We start from the raw sequence: 20,303 nt of genomic DNA on the forward strand, positions 1-20,303 counted from the left end.
AAAATATTATTTAAAAAAAAAAAAACCAAGGCCTTAATAGGGTCTCTCCAGAGAGAGGAAGAGCCAACCATGAGACTAACCCATGTTAAAGGGCTGTCTCAGCTCTGCCATTTAATAGTTACAGGATGTCAGGTAAATTTCTTAACCTCTGTGAGCCTCAGTTTCATCTTCAAAATGGAGAAAATCTGTTACTTCCCCTCTCACCCCCAAACGTGGTCTTATTTTTCTCTGGCAAGGGCAGGGCTATTGGCTTCAGAAATGTTTGCAAGGGTGGCCCCTGATGGAAGAAATGAAAACTGCTGCCTAGGCGTCAGGGATGGCTTCAAGGGCTTTCTGGCAGAAACCTGATCCTCCTGTCTAGCCTTGTAAGATAGGACGGCAGGAATTTTTATAAAAGAGAACTTGGATGAAATAGAAATTCCATCGGACAATTATTTGAAAGGGAGGAAAACAGGCCAAGCTGAGAGTTTCCTAGAATGAATGGTCTTATCGACTGCTCCCCTCTGCCTGGAAGCTTCTTTGAGCCAGGCTTCTGCAAGGCTGGCTCCTTCAGGTCCCAGCTCAGATGGGCCTACCTCAGAAAGGCCTGCCCTCACCATGCAATAGATGTTACATCTTCAGCAAACTCCCTTCTCCTCTGCCACTCTTATATCACCCTCTTTTATTTTAATTTCTTTTTACCTATTACCACTGCCTGAAATTTTAAGTTTCTGTCTTTGTCCATCTCTTCCTCAGTAGTGTAAACTCAATGAGAGCAGAAACCTTAAGTATCTTCGTCACGATTTTGTCCTCACAGTCCAACACAGTGTCTGGCATATAGCTTGATGGTTACCTATTTGAATGAGTCCTTTGAGATTCTAATGTATAGTGTAGATGCTTCAACCACAGCTTCTCCAGTTTTAGAGTATTAATACTTTTTAAAGTTTTAGTTACTTTTATTTATTTATTTTTTGAGATGGAGTCTCGCTCTGTTGCCCAGGCTGGAGTGCAGTGGCGCAATCTCAGCTCACTGCAACCTCCACCTTACAGGTTCAAGAGATTCTCCTGCCTCAGCCTCCCAAGTGGCTGCAATTACAGGCGCCTGCCACTAAACCTGGCTAATTTTTTTTTGTATTTTTAGTAGAGACAGGGTTTCATCATGTTGGCCAGGCTGGTCTCAAGCTCCTGACCTCAAGTGATCTGCCCACCTTGGCCTCCCAAAATGCTGGGGTTACAGGCATGAGACACTGTGCCCAGTCGAGAAGTTACTTTCTAGACAAGATAATATTTTCAATTGACAAGAAGATGAGAAAGAAATCAGAGCACAAGGAAGTCATCCTGTAGTTGTGAAGAACATTATGGTGATAGCTTTGTTGTTCTGTCACCAGATTATGGTTTGTTTTGGTTGTGTTTGGTTTTGTGGGAGTCTTCCCACAAGTTCGCTCTTTGGAGAAGGAATGCTCTTGTCTTTAATCTGTCCAATTTCCTAATCTCTGTGATTTCTGCCCTGCAGTGAATTTTGAAGATTGCACCGGTCGACAAAGGACAGCCTATTTTTCCCTCGACACCCGATTCAAAGTGGGCACAGATGGTGTGATTACAGTCAAAAGGCCTCTACGGTTTCATAACCCACAGATCCATTTCTTGGTCTACGCCTGGGACTCCACCTACAGAAAGTTTTCCACCAAAGTCACGCTGAATACAGTGGGGCACCACCACCGCCCCCCGCCCCATCAGGTATGTTGGCATTTTTCTGAGAAGTTCGCTGTTGTTTTAGTGCGCTGTCTAATCCAGGTTTCTCAGCCTTGGTACCGTTGACATTTTGGGCTGGATGATTTTGTGTTGTAGGGGTTGTCCTGTGCACTGTGTAGGATGTTTAGCAAGCATCCCTGGCCTTAACTGGTTAGACACCAGTAGCACTTCCACCAGTTATGACAACCCAAAGTATCTCCACATGTTGCCCATGGCCCCTGGGGGGACAAATCAGCCCAAGTTGAGGGCTCTTGGCCTAACTGAATAATTCTTGCTGGAGTTTTTGGGGTGTGGGGATCGGGTAGTGTAGAAGAGTGGTAAAGGCCTGAACACCGTCTGGGACTGAATCTCAGCCGTGCTATTTACTACTTGGGTAATGTTGGAGGAATTACGTCACCTGTCTATGCTTGAGCTTCCTTATCTGTAAAATGGAGATAACAGTGAGGATGGAATTAATTAATACATGTGAAATGCTAAAAATACGCAAGGCATACTTAGTCATTGTTAGCTGTCTTTACCACTCCCCTCTTGGGGGAAGAAGAATGAATGAGAGCTGGATTCTTCTCTCTCTCTCTCTTTTTTTTTTAAGACGTAGTCTCACTCTGTGGCTCAGGCTGGAGTGCAGTGGCGTGACTCACAGCAACCTCCACCTCCCCAGTTCAAGTGATCCTCCTGCCTCCACCTCCTGAGTAGCTGGGATTACAGGCGCCCGCCACCATACCCGGCTAATTTTTGTATTTTTAGTAGAGGCAGGGTTTCACCATGTTGGCCAGGCTGGTCTCGAATTCCTGACCTCAAATGATCTGCCTGCCTCAGCCTCCCAAAGTGCTGGAATTACAGGAGTGAGCCACTGCGCCTGGCCAAGAGCTGGATTCTCTGATCATTTTGCTTTTTGTGCTTCCAGTAAGAAGAGCCTTGGTGAAGAAGGAGAAGAACCAGTGGGCAGCTCTTACCCCATTAGACTATAACCTCCACAAGACCCTTCCCCATTGTATTTGCAGTGCCTGGCCTTAGGTCTGGCCCATACCAGGAACAGACAAACAGATGAATTGGCCATGAATGGAAGGATGGATGGATGTCTGCCTGGGTTCTTGGCAGGAATGTTTCTAGGGGTTGTTATTCGAAGCCAGTTTCTCAAGTGCTCCCGTGGTGCTTCCTACCGAAATGTCTCTCTGGGGGATATTCTGGTTGTGTCCTGCTTACTGCTTTGGACGTGTGGAATATGTTGTAAGTGCCAGGGCCAGTAAGATTGGCATCTTCTTTTCTCGCTGAAGACTCTTGATATTCTTGGAACTTAATGGTCCTCCCGATCTGATTTTTCTCCCTGGTGTAATTAGACCAGAAAAATGAGGAATCTAATACTATAGGACCATATTAACTTAGCTCCTTGACTCAAAGTCTCCAAGGGTCCCCATCATTCATGTGAAAAAAACTCAGCACAGTGAGTCCTTGCCAGGCAGCTGTGTGTGGAAGCCTCTTATGATCCAGAGACAGTTTTATTTTTTTAGAGACAGATTCTTGCTCTGTCTCCCAGGCTGGAGGGCAGTGGTGCAATTTCGGCTCACGGCAACGTCTGCCTCCTGGGTTCAAACAATTCTTCTGCCTCAGCCTCTCAAGTAGCTGGGAATACAGGAGCCCATCACCATGCCTGGCTGATTTTTGGATTTTAGTAGAGATGGGTTTCATCATGTTGGCCAGGCTGGTCTCGAACTCCTGACCTCAAGTGATCTGCCCACCTCAGCCTCCCAAAGTGCTGGGATTATAGGTTTGAGCCACTGAGCCCGGCTGCAGGGACAGTTTTGAGCTTGGGTCTTCAACTTTTCTTCCACATCTCTTGAACTTTGTTTCTGCCTCCATGTCTGCTGTATCATGATTGGGTTCAAGTGCATGTTATATAAATCTCCAATTGTCGTGGTTTATGTCGTGGTTTATTCCTCAAGTTAAGGAAGCCCTAGGGTAAGCTGTGCCCAGTATGGAGACTTGATAGTCATCAAGAGCCCAGGTTCCCCCTTTCCTTTTTGCTCCGCCATCCTCAGCACATGACCTCATCCTCAAGGAGACCTCGTGATCCCAGATGGCGGCTGGAGCTCCAGTCATCATGTCTTTTTTTATTTTTTTAATCATGTCTTTATTCTAAGCAATAAGAAGGAGAAAGGAGAAGCATAAAAATTCATTACTTAGTTATCTGTCTGCCTTTTTTTTTTTTTTTTTTTTTTTTTTTTTGAGATGGAGTCTCGCTCTGTCACCCAGGCTGGAGTGCAGTGGCGCGATCTCAGCTCACTGCAAGCTCCACCTCCCGGATTCATGCCATTCTCCTGCCTCAGCCTCCTGAGTAGCTGAGACTACAGGCATCCGCCACCACGCCTGGCTTATTTTTTGTATTTTTAGTAGAGACGGGGTTTCACCGTGTTAGCCAGGATGGTCTCGATCTCCTGACCTTGTGATCCACCTGCCTCGGCCTCCTAAAGTGCTGGGATTACAGGTGTGAGCCACTGCGCCCGGCCCTATCTGCCTTTTAAGAAACCTTTGTGGAATTCTCCACAAGCAACACTTGAGAAACACTGGCCAAAATTTAGCCTCATGACCACATCTAGCTGCACATGCAGTGTAGGGAATGTAGTCTTTCATATGAATACATTTCTGGAATGTATATTCCAGAATTACAAAATTGAGATATATATTGGAGAGATAGGTTTTTATTTTGTTTTTAATCAGAAACAAAGAGTGGATATTGGGTGGTAGGTAGCAGATTATGCCTCAGCTGGTTTGAGATTCACCTTGGTTTGTCTCTATAGTTCAAAGGATCCTTCTGGAACCAGGTGGTACTGTAATTAGATGGCAGTCTTACCTCGCTTTCATTATATATTGATTAATTTTTAACTTTTTTAAAAAACAACATATCCAGGTAACAAAATCTTTTTTTTTTTTTTTTTTTTTTTGGAGACAGAGTCTTGCTCTGTCACCCAGGCTGGAGTGCAGTGGTGGGAACACAGCTCACTGCAGCCTTGACCTCCCAGGCTCAAGCAATCCTCCTGCCTCAATCTTCCATGTAGCTGGGACCACAGGGTGCACCACCATGCCCAGCTAATTTTTTTTTTTTTTTTTTTTTTTGTAGAGATAGGGTTTCACTTTGTTGCGCAGGCTCAAAATCTCTAAATTTGTGTAAGAATAGATCTTAGTCTCTAGTCCTTTCATCTTATTTGGGTGAGTTTTCTCAGTCTGGCATCCTTCCTTTCTTTTCTTTTTACTTTTCTTTTCTTCTTCTTCCATTTCCCTTCCTTTTGTGTTTTTAGTACAGATGGGGTTTTACCATGTTGGCCAGGCTGGTCTTGAACTCCTGACCTCAAGCAGTCCACCTGCCTTGGCCTCCCAAAGTGCTGGGATTATAGGCGTGAGCCACCGTGCCCCACCTGGTATCCTATTTTTCTGAGGGATCACTTCCACGTGCAGTGTTTTCAGGCATGACTCCCTTTCATTTAACACATGAAAATGTTAGTGTGATGTTTTGCCAGCACAGTGTTCATCATTATTCATTCTCTGAAAATATTCCACAGTCCTGGTGTCAGCAAGGCATGCATGTTCCTTTCCTTTCATTGTGATAACTGGGTTTGCATTCATCCATCAGTGCCCATGTGCTCACCATGGCTGTGCAAGGTGGCCAGTTTTTGTTGTTGTTTTGTTTGTTTGTTTTTGTTTCTTTTTTGAGATGCAGTTTCACTCTTGTCACCCAGGCTAGAGTGCAATGGCACAATCTCAGCTCACTGCAACCTCCACCTCCTGGGTTCAAGCAATTCTTCTGCCTCAGCCTTCTGAGTAGCTGGGATTACAGGTGTGCACCACCACACCCAGCTAATTTTTGTATTATTAGTAGAAACAGGATTTCACCATGTTGGCCAGGCTGGTCTTGAGCTCACCTCAGGTGATCCACCCGCCTCAGCCTCCCAAAGGAAAAAGCCTGCTGGGATTACAGGCATGAGCCACCAGGCCTGGCCAAGGTGGCTGTTTTAAGGCTTAGGATACAGTGGTTTTTCTGGGATTGGTTTTTGTTTTTGTTTTTGAGACAGAGTCTCGCTCTGTTTCCCAGGTTGGAGTGCAGTGACACAATCTCGGCTCACTACAACTTCTGCCTCCCAGATTCAAGCTATTTTCTTGCCTCAGCCTCCTGAGTAGCTTGAATTACAGGCACATGCCACCATGCCTGGCTAATTTTTGTATATTTATTTATTTATTTATTTATTTATTTATTTATTTATTTATTTTTGAGACAGAATCTCTCTCTGTCATCCAGGCTGGAGTGCAGTGGCATGATCTCAGCTCACTGCAACCTCTGCCTCCCGGGTTCAAGCAATTCTCACGCCTCAGCCTCCCAAGTAGTTGGGACCCCGTGTGTGCCACCATGCCCGGCTAATTTTTGTATTTTTAGTAGAGGCAGGGTTTTGGCACGTTGGCCAAGCTGATCCCAAACTCCTGACCTCAAGTGATCTGCCTGCCTTAGCCTCCCAAAGTGCTGGGATTACAGGTGTGAGCCACCACGCCTGGCCCAGGATACAGTGATGATGGTCAGTTTTTTATTTTGTTCATGTGCTGGGGTCAAATCTCAATAAAACCATAACTCAGTGTTTTCCAACCAGTCCAACCATCATCTCCATCATTACCTTTATTGAGCACTTACTATGTTTCAGGCAGTATTCACAGTGCTTTAAATGTGCAATACCAGCATCTCATTTAATCCTTCCAAGAATTATATGAGATAGGTTCTAATATTATCCCCATTTCAGACATTAGGAAGCTGTAATACAGAGAAATTAAGTAATATCTGCCTGGGGCAAGGAGGTACTGTCATGAGGATTCAAAGCCAGGCAGTCTAGCTCCAGAGCCTGCCCTTGGCGCAGGCTGGGCTGCCTCTCTAGGAGACAAACACAGGATGTAGAGGGCAGAGAGCATAGGTGTGTGCGCATGTGTGCACATGTGGCCAGTGTGCAGCATTGGGGAAGGGCTCTGTGATGATACCTGGTCATATCTCACATGTATCTGGTGCATCTTCAATCTTAAAGCCAGAAAATAGAGCTGAACTCAAACTTGGCAAGCAGTGATCAGTGACTGTGAGTTTTTATGTGGAGGGTGAGAGATGGAATTTTCCCCTGGAAACTTTACTGTGTTACCAGTAATCACCTTAAAACACTTAAACAATTTGGCAAATATTTTCCTTCCATTTTCAACTCTCTTATTTCCCTGCATGTGCATAAAGTTATCTTTATTGCATATGAAAACTGTTCAATACAAGTCTCAAAGGGTGTTTTTGGCTTCCATCCCAACAGCTTCTGTTAGAACAAATGGAAACCATATAGACATAATGATACAGTGAGATGAAGAGATTTATATTGATCACAAAGTAGTTCTTAGTACAAGTTCTCAAAATCTACTTGTTTTGGGATAACTCCACGTTGAGGACCTGTGTCCCCAAGAAAAATATAAAAGAGGCTGGGTGCGGTGACTCACACCTGTAATCCCAGCAAATTGGGAAGCCAAAGCAGGAGAATCGCTTGAGCCCAGGAGTTCGAGACCAGTCTGGGCAAGATGGCAAGACCCTGCCTCTAAAAAAATTTAAAAAATTTAAAAAATTAGGTGCACATGGTGGTGCATGGTGGTGGATGCCTGTAGTTCCAGCTACTTGGTAGGCTGAGGTCAGAGGCTTGCCTGAGCTCAGGAGTTCAAGGCTGCAGTGAGCTTTGATCACTTCACTGCACTCCAGCCTGGGTGACAGAGCAAGACCCTGTCTCTATTTAAAAAAAGAAAAGAAAAGAAATCGAAAACCCAAATATTCAGTTGTTGAGTAAGCTCTGATATTAAATCATCAGAGTATAATGTTGCTGTTAAAAATTATATTATGGGCTGGGTGTGGTGGCTCATGCCTGTAATCCCAGCATTTTGGGAGGCCACATTGCTTAAGCTTACAAGTTCGAGACCAGCCTGGGTAACATGGCAAAGCCCTACGTCTACTAAAAATACAAAAATTAGTCAGCCATGGTGGTGCACACCTGTAGTCCCAGCTACTCAGGAGGCTGAGATGGGAGGGATGGCTTGAGCCTGGGAGGCAGAGGTTCCAGTGAGACAAGATCTTGCCGCTGTACCCCAGCCTCAGTGATAGAGCCAGATCTTGTCTCAAAAAAATAAAAATGAGATTATGTAGGCTTGAAACAGCTTGTAAATTATAATATCAAACCCTGAAACCAATACTTGTGTATGCATGATGATTATTTGAGCTCTGGACACTAAGAAGGATAAAAAGAGAATGCAGTCTTTACGATATAGCAAAGGGTCTCATTGGTTTTTGTTTTGATTGGTCATTTTGGTGGATATATATAATTTGTCATTGATAAGAGAATGTGTCATTAAATTCAAACTGTACACTGCCCACAGAAGGCTGGGGACGCTGTCTGGCTAGGTTGGACTGTTAGACCTGAAGTATCCGTCTTGAATTGTCTTATCTTGTTCCTCATCTTCTTTCCTTTTAGGCCTCCGTTTCTGGAATCCAAGCAGAATTGCTCACATTTCCCAACTCCTCTCCTGGCCTCAGAAGACAGAAGAGAGACTGGGTTATTCCTCCCATCAGCTGCCCAGAAAATGAAAAAGGCCCATTTCCTAAAAACCTGGTTCAGGTAGAGAAAGAAGTTCTCTGTTTCTCTGGGAGGGATTTGGCAGAGAAGTACCAAGGAGAGAAAGGGAAAAGACCCAGTGTTGGGATCCTTCTTTACTAATTCTTTTTCTTTCATTTTGTCTTCAGATCAAATCCAACAAAGACAAAGAAGGCAAGGTTTTCTACAGCATCACTGGCCAAGGAGCTGACACACCCCCTGTTGGTGTCTTTATTATTGAAAGAGAAACAGGATGGCTGAAGGTGACAGAGCCTCTGGATAGAGAACGCATTGCCACATACACTGTAAGTATCTCTTAGAAGCTTGTTGACACCGGGGTAACATCCACCCAGGATTTTTTGGTCAACCCATGCTGGATCCGCAGATCAGAGGCTCTGAACACATGAGGAGCTTAACTTGACACCTCTTGACCTGTTGCTAAGGAGAAGTGATGGGAGAACGTGGGACAGTTTGGGGTTGTTAATTTTTCTCCTTGTCAGGAAGAAAGGAAGGAGAATCCGCATGCATCCTCATACAACCAGGACAAATTTAGACCCAAGATGTCAACCTGTTCTTGGGGCTGGAAGTCCCTGACCTAAAGGAACAGGACAGTGATGATATAAGGGAGCAAAACCCATTTCTTGGGCTTGGCAGCAGCAAGAGCTTAGGAAAACCAAGAGGTCTTTTTTTTTTTTTTTTGAGATAGGGTTTCACTCTGTCACCCAGGCTGGAACCACAACCTCCACTTCCCGGGTTCAAGTGATTCTCCTGCTTCAACCTCCCGAGTAGCTGGATTATAGGCAGCTGCCATCATGCCCAGCTAATTTTTTGCGTTTTTATTAGAGATGAGGTTTTACCATGTTGGCCAGAGTGGTCTCAAACTCCTGACCTCAGGCGATTCACCCTACTTGGCCTCCCAAAGTGCTGGGATTACAGGAGGGAGCCACTGCACCCGGCCTACAAGAGGTCATTTGTTTTTGTTTTGGATTTTTGTTTTTTTGAGACCGAGTCTACCTGTGTCACTCAAGCTGGAATGCAGTGGTACAATCTTAGCTCACTGCAGCCTGGACCTTCTGGGCCCAAGCGACACTCCCACCCCATCTTCCTGAGTAGCTGAGACTAAAGGCGCAGGCCACCACACCCAGTTAATTTTTGTATTTTTTGTAGAAACAAGATCTTGCTATGTTGCCCAGGCTGGTCTTGAAATCTTGAGCTCAAGCAATCTGCCCACCTCGGCCTCCCAAAGTGCTGAGATTACATGAACCACTATGCCTGGCCAGGAAGTCATATATTGATGCCAAATTCAGAAATATCTGGGGGAAATGCTAGACTAAAAGGACCAGAGCAAGTTTCACCCGGCATGGAATAAGAGTTTTTCAGGCCCGCATCTTCATCTCTAGGCCTGATGCCCTGGTCCTCGTGTGGGAAATGGGAGGTCTGAGCCGTGGGGGGTGTTCTCCAGCCCATGGCTCTTACCTTGTTATAATCTCACTGAAGCAGCAGCAGCACATGTGTGAGAAAAGTCACCCACTGGGGGTCTCAGAGCCTAGGAAGGTGTGGCAGCCAGGGGGGCGCACTCTGCTCTGGCTGGGCCCCTTCTCCCATGTTTTCTTCCTCATCAGAGCTCAAGTCACCCTCACTTGGTTCTTTCAGCTCTTCTCTCACGCTGTGTCATCCAACGGGAATGCAGTTGAGGATCCAATGGAGATTTTGATCACGGTAACCGATCAGAATGACAACAAGCCCGAATTCACCCAGGAGGTCTTTAAGGGGTCTGTCATGGAAGGTGCTCTTCCAGGTATATCCACTAATGAGAATCTGAATACTCAGAAAGACTCTTAGGTTCTTTGGACCCCAAAGTGTTGTCCAAGCCCAAAGGTTGTGTAACTAAAGCTGATCCTTCCTACGGACAGAACTTCTTGGCAAGCCATTGTTGTGTTATATGCATGTGTGTAACAGTCTACCTGTGGAAACATATAAAATAGGGAGAGTTTAAGAACAATCTTCCCTTTTTTATTATTAATTTTTTTTTTTTTTAGGCTGGGCATGGTGGCTCATGCCTGTAATCCCAGCACTTTGGGAGGCCAAGGTGGATGGGTCACCTGTGCTCAGGAGTTCAAGACCAGCCTGACCAACATGGTGAAACCTCGTCTCTATTAAAAATACAAAAAAATTAGCCGGTCGTGGTGGCGGGGGCCTGTAATCCCAGCTACTTGGGAGGCTGAGGCAGGAGAATTGCTTGAACCCGGGAGGCGGGGGTTGCAGTAAGCTGAGATCACGCCACTGCACTCCAGCCTGGGTGACAGATCCAGACTCCGTCTCAAAAAAAAAAAAATTTTTTTTTCAGAGACAGGGTCTTGCTTTGTTGTCCAGGCTACTTTCAAACTCCCGGGCCCAAGCAATCCTCCCACCTCAGCCCCACAAGCTGCTAAGATTATAGGCATGAGCTACTATACCTGGCTAAGAACAACCTTCCTAATTAAGGAACAGATCTTTACCAGTACCTTAAAGCCCTAAACAATCCCCCTTGGTCACATTCTTTTCTCTCCTCCATAAAGATAACCACACCCTAGGCTGGGTGTGGTGGTTCACACCTGTAACCCCAGCACTTTGGGAGGCCAAGGTGGGCAAATCACTTGAGGTCAGGAGTTTGAGACCAGCCTGACCAACATGGAGAAACCCTGTCTCTACTAAAAATAGAAAATTAGCTGGGCGTGGCGACGCATGCCTATAATTCCAGATACTTGGGAGGCTGAAGCAGGAGAATTGCTTGAACCCGGGAGACAGAGATTGTGGTGAGCCGAATCACGCCATTGCATTCCAGCCTGGGCAACAGGAGCAAAACTCCGTCTCAAAAAAAAAAAAAAAAAAAAAGATAACCACACCCTGACTTTTGTGGTAATCATTCCCTTTCTTTTCTTTATTACCATTTGTGTATTTATACCTGGATAATAAGTTGATAGTTTGAGCTTTCTTTCTCCCCTAGCACTTTGGTAAGAATTCTAGGAATTAGGGAACTCTGACACGGTACCACCCCCATGTCCCCTCCTTTATCCCTCAGGGCAGAATTGGATTAAGCAGTATTGACCCAGTCCCAAAGTGCAGCTTGTCTAAACCTTCATCTCCTTGAACTCTTCCAGGAACCTCTGTGATGGAGGTCACAGCCACAGACGCGGACGATGATGTGAACACCTACAATGCCGCCATCGCTTACACCATCCTCAGCCAAGATCCTGAGCTCCCTGACAAAAATATGTTCACCATTAACAGGAACACAGGAGTCATCAGTGTGGTCACCACTGGGCTGGACCGAGAGGTCAGGGGTCAGGAGGATCCAGAGGGTGTGGAGGACAAATGTGTATTAGCTCAATCCCGTGGACAAAGCAAAATCCTGCTAGGCCAGTTGTCAGTTAATACAGTGATGGTCTAAGCTTTGCATCTAAGCTTGTGCCCAGAGGTTCCGTGCCTAGAAGACAGGCAGGCTGGCATGAAGCACATGGTTAAATATTCTGGTTCCATGTGTTGGGCTGGGCTAGGCCAAAGGTGGCTAGTGTTCCTGGTCCTGACTTGGTTGTGTCGATCTCTCTGCAGAGTTTCCCTACGTATACCCTGGTGGTTCAAGCTGCTGACCTTCAAGGTGAGGGGTTAAGCACAACAGCAACAGCTGTGATCACAGTCACTGACACCAACGATAATCCTCCGATCTTCAATCCCACCACGGTAATTCTATAACTCCTTAGAGGGTTTCCAAAGAAAGGTCTTTTGTTGTTCATGAACTAAGTGTCACCACTGCTCATGGGCGAAGTCTTTGAAAACTCTCTCCAGACTAGAGAATGTTAACTTTAAACTTAAAAGCAAGCATCTTGAGATGGCAGTTGTCTTTTAGTATCTTTTTTCCACCCTTGGCCTGGGGCCAATTGGTGCAAGATTGTGAAGTTGCAAAAAGCACCTACTGATTTCATAGTCTCATGGTACATTTTTATAGCAAATATTACCTGGTTTCATTTCTTTATTGAACAAATATTTTCTAAGTTTATATTAGGCACTGTGTTAGACACTGGAGAGACCATCACACACAAAGATTCCATTCTCATGGTGTTTCTGGTATAGCCAGGAAGACATCTTATGAGAATTATTGTATGCCAAGGATATTACATGCATTCAAGGAGAAGGTATTGAGAACCAAGTAGGGTAAGTTTAAATCATCCTGTATAATGGCCAGGCGTGGTGGCTCACACCTGTAATCTAGCAAGTTGAGAGGCCAAGGCTGGTGGATCCCTTGAGGATGGAGTTTGAGACCAGCCTGGCCAACGTGGCGAAACTCCATCTCCACTAAAAATACAAAAATTAGCTGGGCGTGGTGGTGCATGCTTGTAATCCCAGCTACTCGGGCATCTGAGGCATGAGAGTTGCTTGAACCCAGGAGGCGGAGGCTGCAGTGAGCCGAGATTGTACCATTGCACCCCAGTGCGCCCATTGCCTGGCCTCTCCTTGTCACATCTTCTCCTTGAAGCTTGCTTTCAGTTAGCCAGGTGTGGTGGTGCATGCCTGTGGTCCCAGCTACTCTGGAGGCTGAGGTGGGAGGATTGCTTGAGCCCAGGAGGTTGAGGCTACAGTGAGCCATGATCGCTCAAATACACTCCAGCCTGGTGACAGTGAGATCTTATCTCAAAAGAACAACAAAAAAAGAGGAATCCTTTAGCCCCCTGAGACTCAGCTCTGCTAGCAGTCTTGGTACTTTGTAAATGACACATCTCTTTGCTCTGCAGTACAAGGGTCAGGTGCCTGAGAACGAGGCTAACGTCGTAATCACCACACTGAAAGTGACTGATGCTGATGCCCCCAATACCCCAGCGTGGGAGGCTGTATACACCATATTGAATGATGATGGTGGACAATTTGTCGTCACCACAAATCCAGTGAACAACGATGGCATTTTGAAAACAGCAAAGGTTTGTATGGTACCTGGCAAGATGCAGAAACTGGCATCCTCACAGCTGTTCATACCCTTGTCCCCTGGTATCTTCTTAGAAGTAGATTCGCTTTGGCAGGGGGACAGGGTGACTTTCCCAGATTGTAGTGGACCATGTGGGATTTGCAGTGGCTCTTCCTGCTCATGTAAGAAATCAAGAAACTGTGCTGTGTGTGGTGGCTCACGCCTGTAATCCCAGCACTTAGGGACGCTGAGGCAGGCAGATCACGAGGTCAGGAGTTTGAGTCTCTGCTAAAAATACAAAAATTAGCCAGGCATGGTGGCACGTGCCTGTAATCTCAGCTACTAGGGAGGCTGAGGCAGGAGAATTGCTTGAACCTGGGAGGTGGAGGTTGCAGTGAGCCAAGATCGTGCCATTGCACTCCAGCTCTGGGTGACAGAGCAAGACTCAGTCTCCAGGGGTGGGCGGGGAAAAGGAGGCCGGGCGTGGTGGCTCACGCCTGTAATCATAGCACTTTGGGAGGCCAAGGCGGGCAGATCACAAGGTCAAGAGATCGAGATCATCCTGACCAACATGGTGAAACCCCATCTCTACTAAAAATACAAAAATTAGCTGGGCATGGTGGTGTGCACCTATAGTCCCAGCTACTAGGGAGGCTGAGGCAGGAGAATCGCTTGAACCTAGGAGAGGGAGGTTGCAGTGAGCCAGGATCGTGCCACTGCACTCCAGCCCGGCAACAGAGTGAGACTTCGTCTCAAAAAAAGGAAATCAAGAAGCTAAGGCTTCTTGGTGGCTCATGGTGGCTCATGCCTGCAATCCCAGCACTTTGGGAGGCCGAGGCGGGCAGATCACCTGAGGTCGGGAGTTTGGGACCAGCCTGGCCAACATGGTGAAAACCTGTCTCTACCAAAAATACAAAAATTAACTGGGCGTGGTGGTGCACACTTGTAATCCCTGCTGCTTGGGAGGCTGAAGCAGGAGAATCGCTTGAGCCTGGAAGACAGAGGTTGTAGTGAGCCAAGATCGTGCTACTGCACCCTGGCCTGGGCAACAGAGTGAGACTCTGTCTGAAAAAAAAAAGAAATCAAGAAGCTGTTACACAGGATCCTGAAATTGAAAAAGAAGTACTATCTGCTTTAATAGGCTCTTTCCCAGAAACATTCTCCTTCCCTCAGCTCTTTCCATTTTGCGGTGACAGAGAAAATGATTTACTGGTCTCTGCTCTTGTGCTGGTTTATTTTAGAAGTGGGGCAGATATGGTTGTTTTTGAAAAATGTCCTAGAAACTTGAAAACTAGCCAAGCGCAGTAGTGTATGGCGGTGGGCCCAACTACTTGGGAGGCTGAGGTGGGAGAATCACTTGAGCCCAGGGGGTTGAAGCTGCACTCAGCTATGATCATGCCACTGTACTCCAACCTGGGCAATAGAATGAGACTCCATCTCTTAAAAAAAAAAAAAAAAAAAGATGGCCGGGTGCAGTTGCTGATGTCTGTAATCCCAACACTTTGGGAGGCCAAGGCGGGTGGATCACCTGAGGTCAGGAGTTCGAGACCAGCCTGGCCAACATGGTGAAACGTCGTCTCTACTAAAAATACAAAAAATTAGCCAGGTGTGGTGGCGGGCTCCTGTAATCCCAGCTACTAGGGAGGCTGAGGCAGGAGAATTGCTTGAACCCAGGAGGTGGAGGTTGCAGTGAGCCATTGCATTCCAGCCTGGGTGACAAGAGCAAAAATTCTGTCTCAGAAAAAAATAAAATAAGGAAAGAAACTTGAAAACTAAGAATTTGAGTGAATTGCTTGTTGAAGTGACTGGATCCCTAGAATAGCCCCAGCTTTGCCTTCCTCTTGAGTAGGTGAGCAGATTTGAGAAGCCATGGTAAGTAATTGTGGTTTCTGCCATTGAAAGTCATGGCAGAAACCACAGTTACTTTTGCACCAACCTAATATATTACCAAAAGCAACAGTTAAGGATTTAATTTTATTTTTACTAACACAAAATGTTTCGTTTTGTTTTTAACTTCATTGTTTCTGCTCTCTAGGGCTTGGATTTTGAGGCCAAGCAGCAGTACATTCTACACGTAGCAGTGACGAATGTGGTACCTTTTGAGGTCTCTCTCACCACCTCCACAGCCACCGTCACCGTGGATGTGCTGGATGTGAATGAAGCCCCCATCTTTGTGCCTCCTGAAAAGAGAGTGGAAGTGTCCGAGGACTTTGGCGTGGGCCAGGAAATCACATCCTACACTGCCCAGGAGCCAGACACATTTATGGAACAGAAAATAACGTAAGTGTGAGGATTTTTCAACTGACTTGCAGCAACTGGTTATTTTATATCATTTTATATGTAAATCAATAATATGTACTTCATGGCATTTTGTCATTTGTCTGTACAAGACCATTCTCTTAATTTATTTTTTATTCCCTTTATCTGTGCTCCTTTCACCTGTTCCCTTCCCTTCACAGACAGCCGTTCTTGGTCTGATGTGCTGCCTCTCTTTGAGCTCTTGTAGTATGGTAGAAATGCAATTTTACTTTGCATACATACTATTGTGTTTTTTTGAGTTTGGAGTCTCACTTTGTCGCCCAGGCTAGCGTGCAGTGGCGTGATCTCTGCCTACTGCAGCCTCTGTCTCTTGGGTTCAAGCAATTTTCATGCCTCAGCCTTCCATGTAGCCAGGATTACAGGTGCCTGCCACCACGCCCGGCTAATTTTTGTATTTTTAGTAGAGACAAGGCTTCACCACATTGGCCAGGCTGGTCTCGAACTTCTGACCTCAAGTGATCTGCCTGCCTCCTAAAGTGCTGGGATTACAGGCGTGAGCCACCGCACCCAGCCCATAGTATTGTGTTCTAAGTAGCTTACTATCAGTATTTCTCCTTTCAAACTTGAAGGTACCTCTATAATGTAAATCACACAGATGCTGAGAACTGAGAACCCACATGCCAACCAACCAACTACAACACTTGCTTTAAAATACTCTCATTTTGGGTTGGGCATAGCAGCTCATGCCTGTAATCCCAAAACTTAGGGAGGCCTAGGCAGGTGGATCACTTTGAGGCCAGGTGTTGAAGACCAGTCTGGCCAACATGGTGAAACCCCTGCCTCCACTAAAAACACAAGAAATTAGCTGGGCATGGTGGTACACACCTGTAATCCCAGCTACTCGGGAGGCTGAGGCACGAGAATCACTTGAACCCAAAAAGCTGAGGTTGCAGTGAGCTGAGATCGAGTCACTGCACTCCAGCCTGGGTGACAGAGTGAGACTCCATCTCAAAAACAAAAAACAAAAAAACTCTCATTTTCTATGTGTAGCCAATGGACTCCTCATAATCTAGAGATATTTCTACATGCTCCAAACTGTAAGGCCTGGCAAGATGGGTTTTAATCGAAGTTTAAAAGAATGATGAAAAGTCAAAGACAATAATGTAGGATTAGGTTCAGTGATGAAACCCTGGATTGTACAGTTTCCAGGCTGGGTTGAAAGCTTGCAGTAGTGAAATAGATAGTTCAAAGCATCTCCTGGGGCAGATTCAGGGACCAGGTCTTTAGTGTCTGTTTCCAGAGGCCCTTACGCCTGGAACAATGACCACTTGATGTAATTCATTGCTTTGCACTTCCAAAGAAGTGAGGCCAAGCCCACAGTTTCTTAGAGCCCTTTCCTCCTTTGATTTCTTAGTTTCTCTTTCAGAGCCTTTCCATGACCCTAGTAAATAACTGAGCAGTAGATCTCTGTTAGCCTCCCTGTACCTCCCATTAAATGGCAATAGTGCAGTCCACCCACAGGTCAACAGGGCAACCTGCATCTCCAGATGTTCATGACAGGAGAGGAGGTGGCATGTTGCCACCATTTAGGAACTACTGTATTGTTTGGGGGAGCTGGTCTGCAGGAGTCTGCTTTTAAAAATAAATAAGGATTATAGTAATCATTGCTTCAGCAAGAATCATCCACAGATGCCAAATCCATTGGGTGAAAATTAGTTGCTGAACAAGATATTCTCAAATTATCTACCTGCAGATTATAGGTTAATCATGCAGTGAAAAAAGGCACCTTTGCTGTGAAGAAATCTGGTGGCCTTTCCCTTATCCAAGTGATCAAAGTTATCAATAGAAGCACAGACAGACATCATGTGCCTCCCAGTGTCCTGCACTAGGGAGGCCACAGCATCACCTCTGTCCTGTTCTTGCCCCCACCGACCCCTGAAATGGATTACCTGAATCTAAATTTTGAGGAATAATCAGACAAACCCAAGTTAAGGGGCATGCTACAAAACAACGGCCAGCACATTTCAAAAATGTCAGTGACAGAAAAGAAAGACCTAAGGAAGAGCCATGCCAACGAAAGGCCATATTGGATCCTGAATCCAGAAGGGTGCAAGGTTGCTATAAAGGACATTTTTGGAAAATCTGACAATTCGAATATGCACCATATATTCGACAATAGAATTCTATCAAAGTTTTGTTTCCTAAAATTGAAAATCAAGACTGGTCACGGTGGCTCACACCTGCAATCCCAGTGCTTTGGGAGGCCGAGATGGGTGGATCATCTGAGGTCAGGAGATCGAGACTATCCTGGCTAACATGGTGAAACCTCGTCTCTACTAAAAATACAAAAAATTAGCCGGGCGTGGTGGCGGGTGCCTGTAGACCCAGCTATTCAGGAGGCTGGGGCAGGAGAATGGCATGAACCTGGGAGGTGGAGCTTGCAGTGAGCTGAGATCACGCCACTGTACTCCAGCCTGGGCGACAGAACGAGACTCTGTCCCAAAAAAAAAAAAAAAGAAAAGAAAAAAAAAGAAAATCAAATTGGGGTTATATAACAGAATGCCTTTGTTCTTAGGAGATAACACATTGACATATTTATAAGTAAAGGAACATGACTTCTGCAATTTATTTGCAGATGGTTCAGCAGAACAAGAAATTATGTAGGCGTGTGTCAATATAGACAGAGCAGATGTGGCAAAGTATTAACAATGAGTAAACTCAGGTGAAGAGTTCATGGATGGTCATCATACTATTATAGTAACTTGTCTGTTGTATTGTTGGTTTTCTTGGTTTTCTTTTTTTTTTTTTTTTTTTAAAGACGGAGTTTCGGCCGGGCGCGGTGGCTCACGCCTGTAATCCCAGCACTTTGGGAGGCCGAGACGTGCGGATCATGAGGTCAGGAGATCGAGACCATCCTGGCTAAAACGGTGTAAACCGCGTCTCAACTAACAATACAAAAAAATTAGCCGGGCGTGATGGCGGGCGCCTCTAGTCCCAGCTACTCCGGAGGCTGAGGCAGAAGAATGGTGTGAACCCAGGAGGTGGAGCTTGCAGCGAGCCGACATCGCGCCACTGCACTCCAGCTTGGGCTACAGAGCAAGACTCCGTCTCAAAAAAAAAAAAAAAAAAAAAGAAAGAAAGGGTTTCACTTTTGTTGCCCAGGCTGGAGTGCAGTGGTGCAATCTCGGCTCACTGCAACCTCCATCTCCCAGGTTCAAACGATTCTCCTGCCTCACCCTCCCCAGTAGCTGGGATTACAGGCGTGTGCCACCACACCCAGCTAATTTTTGTATTTTTAGTAGAGACAGGGTTTCACCATGTTGACCAGGCTGGTCTCAAACCCCTGACCTCAGGTGATCTGCCCACCTCAGCCTCCCAAAGTGTTGGGATTACAGGCATGAGCCACCGCGACCGGCCTATTGTTGGTTTTCAAAATAAAAACGTTGGAAGTAACCATATAACTGAAGAAGCGCTTAAGCCGTTTTCAGCTACATGTTGTTTGCTGGTCCTATTCTAAAAGCCAGAGCTTGTCCCCGTTCAGATATCGGATTTGGAGAGACACTGCCAACTGGCTGGAGATTAATCCGGACACTGGTGCCATTTCCACTCGGGCTGAGCTGGACAGGGAGGATTTTGAGCACGTGAAGAACAGCACGTACACAGCCCTAATCATAGCTACAGACAATGGTAAGGGGGCCTCATCTGAGCCTTTGCTGCCTCGACCTCCTAGCTAGTTCAGTTCCTTGCCCCTCCCTTCTTTTGGAGGGAAGAGTTCATTCTTTTTCTTTTATCCTTTTTGTTTGCTGGATTGATTTGTATAAATGTATGGAGTACAAGGGTAATTTTGTTACATGCATAGATGTGTAGTGGTAAAGTCAGGGCTTTTAGGGTATCCGTCACCCAAATAACATGCATTGTACCCATTAAGTAATTGTTCATCATCTACCCCCTCCCACCCCTTGGACCCTTCCCAGCTGCCATTGTCTATCATTCCACAATCTACATCCATGTGTACACATTATCGAACTCCGACTTCTAAGTGAGAACATGCAGTATTTCTCCTTATATGTCTGATTCGTTTCACTTGAGACAATGGCCTCCAGTTTCATCCATGTTGCTGCAAAAGATTTCTCTTTTATTCTTAAACAAAGGCATTCTTATTATCAAAAATTCAAGTGGGCTGGGCACGGTGACTCACACCTGTAATCCCAGCACTTAGAGAGGCTGAGGTGGGAGGATCACTTGAGCCCAGGAGTTCAAGACCAGCCTGGGTAACATGGCAAAACCCTGTCTCTACAAAAAGTACATAAATTAGCTGAGTGTGTTGGTGAGCACCTGTAGGCCCAGCTACTCAGAAGGCTGAAGTGGTAGGATTGCTTGAGTCTGAAAGGTGGAGGCTGCAGTGAGCCAAGATTGCGCCACTGCTCTCCATCCTGGGCAACAGAGCAAGACTCTGTCTCCAAAAAAAAAATTGTTTTTTCAAGTAATTTTGGTCAAACAGAACTTACTTTTCACTACTCACTCTTTATTCCTTCCCTAAGGGAACCAGGTAATGATGGTTTACAATCCATTTCCAAAGCTTAATACTTGTGTGACCTTGGATTTGCTGTTTAATTTTTTTTTTTTTTTTGAGACAGAGTCTTGCTCTGTCACCCAGGCTGGAGTGCAGTGGTGCAATCTTGGCTCACTGCAGCTTCCGCCTCCCAGGTTCAAGCAATTGTCCTACCTCAGCCTCCCAAGTA

At 45.8% G+C, this 20,303-nt stretch overlaps 1 protein-coding gene across 4 annotated transcripts in view; it reads left to right on the forward strand.

Moving 5' to 3' along the window:
- Positions 1-20,303, forward strand: part of CDH1 (cadherin 1) — a 98,246-nt gene that overhangs the window by 62,886 nt on the left and 15,057 nt on the right. The window contains exons 3-11 of one of the 4 annotated variants that reach the window (NM_001317185.2): positions 1,493-1,716; positions 8,247-8,390; positions 8,516-8,671; positions 10,020-10,164; positions 11,507-11,682; positions 11,958-12,086; positions 13,136-13,385; positions 15,338-15,582; positions 19,103-19,248. In NM_001317185.2, the coding sequence (NP_001304114.1) occupies positions 15,566-15,582; positions 19,103-19,248 (163 nt within the window). In that variant the 5' untranslated portion in view covers positions 1,493-1,716; positions 8,247-8,390; positions 8,516-8,671; ... (3 more) ...; positions 13,136-13,385; positions 15,338-15,565. The remainder of the gene's footprint in view (positions 1-1,492; positions 1,717-8,246; positions 8,391-8,515; positions 8,672-10,019; positions 10,165-11,506; positions 11,683-11,957; positions 12,087-13,135; positions 13,386-15,337; positions 15,583-19,102; positions 19,249-20,303) is intronic. The other 3 variants (NM_004360.5, NM_001317186.2, NM_001317184.2) reach the window with 3 other exon arrangements.

This window comes from Homo sapiens, chromosome 16 (genome assembly GCF_000001405.40).
Source record: "Homo sapiens chromosome 16, GRCh38.p14 Primary Assembly".
Lineage (NCBI taxonomy): Eukaryota > Metazoa > Chordata > Mammalia > Primates > Hominidae > Homo > Homo sapiens.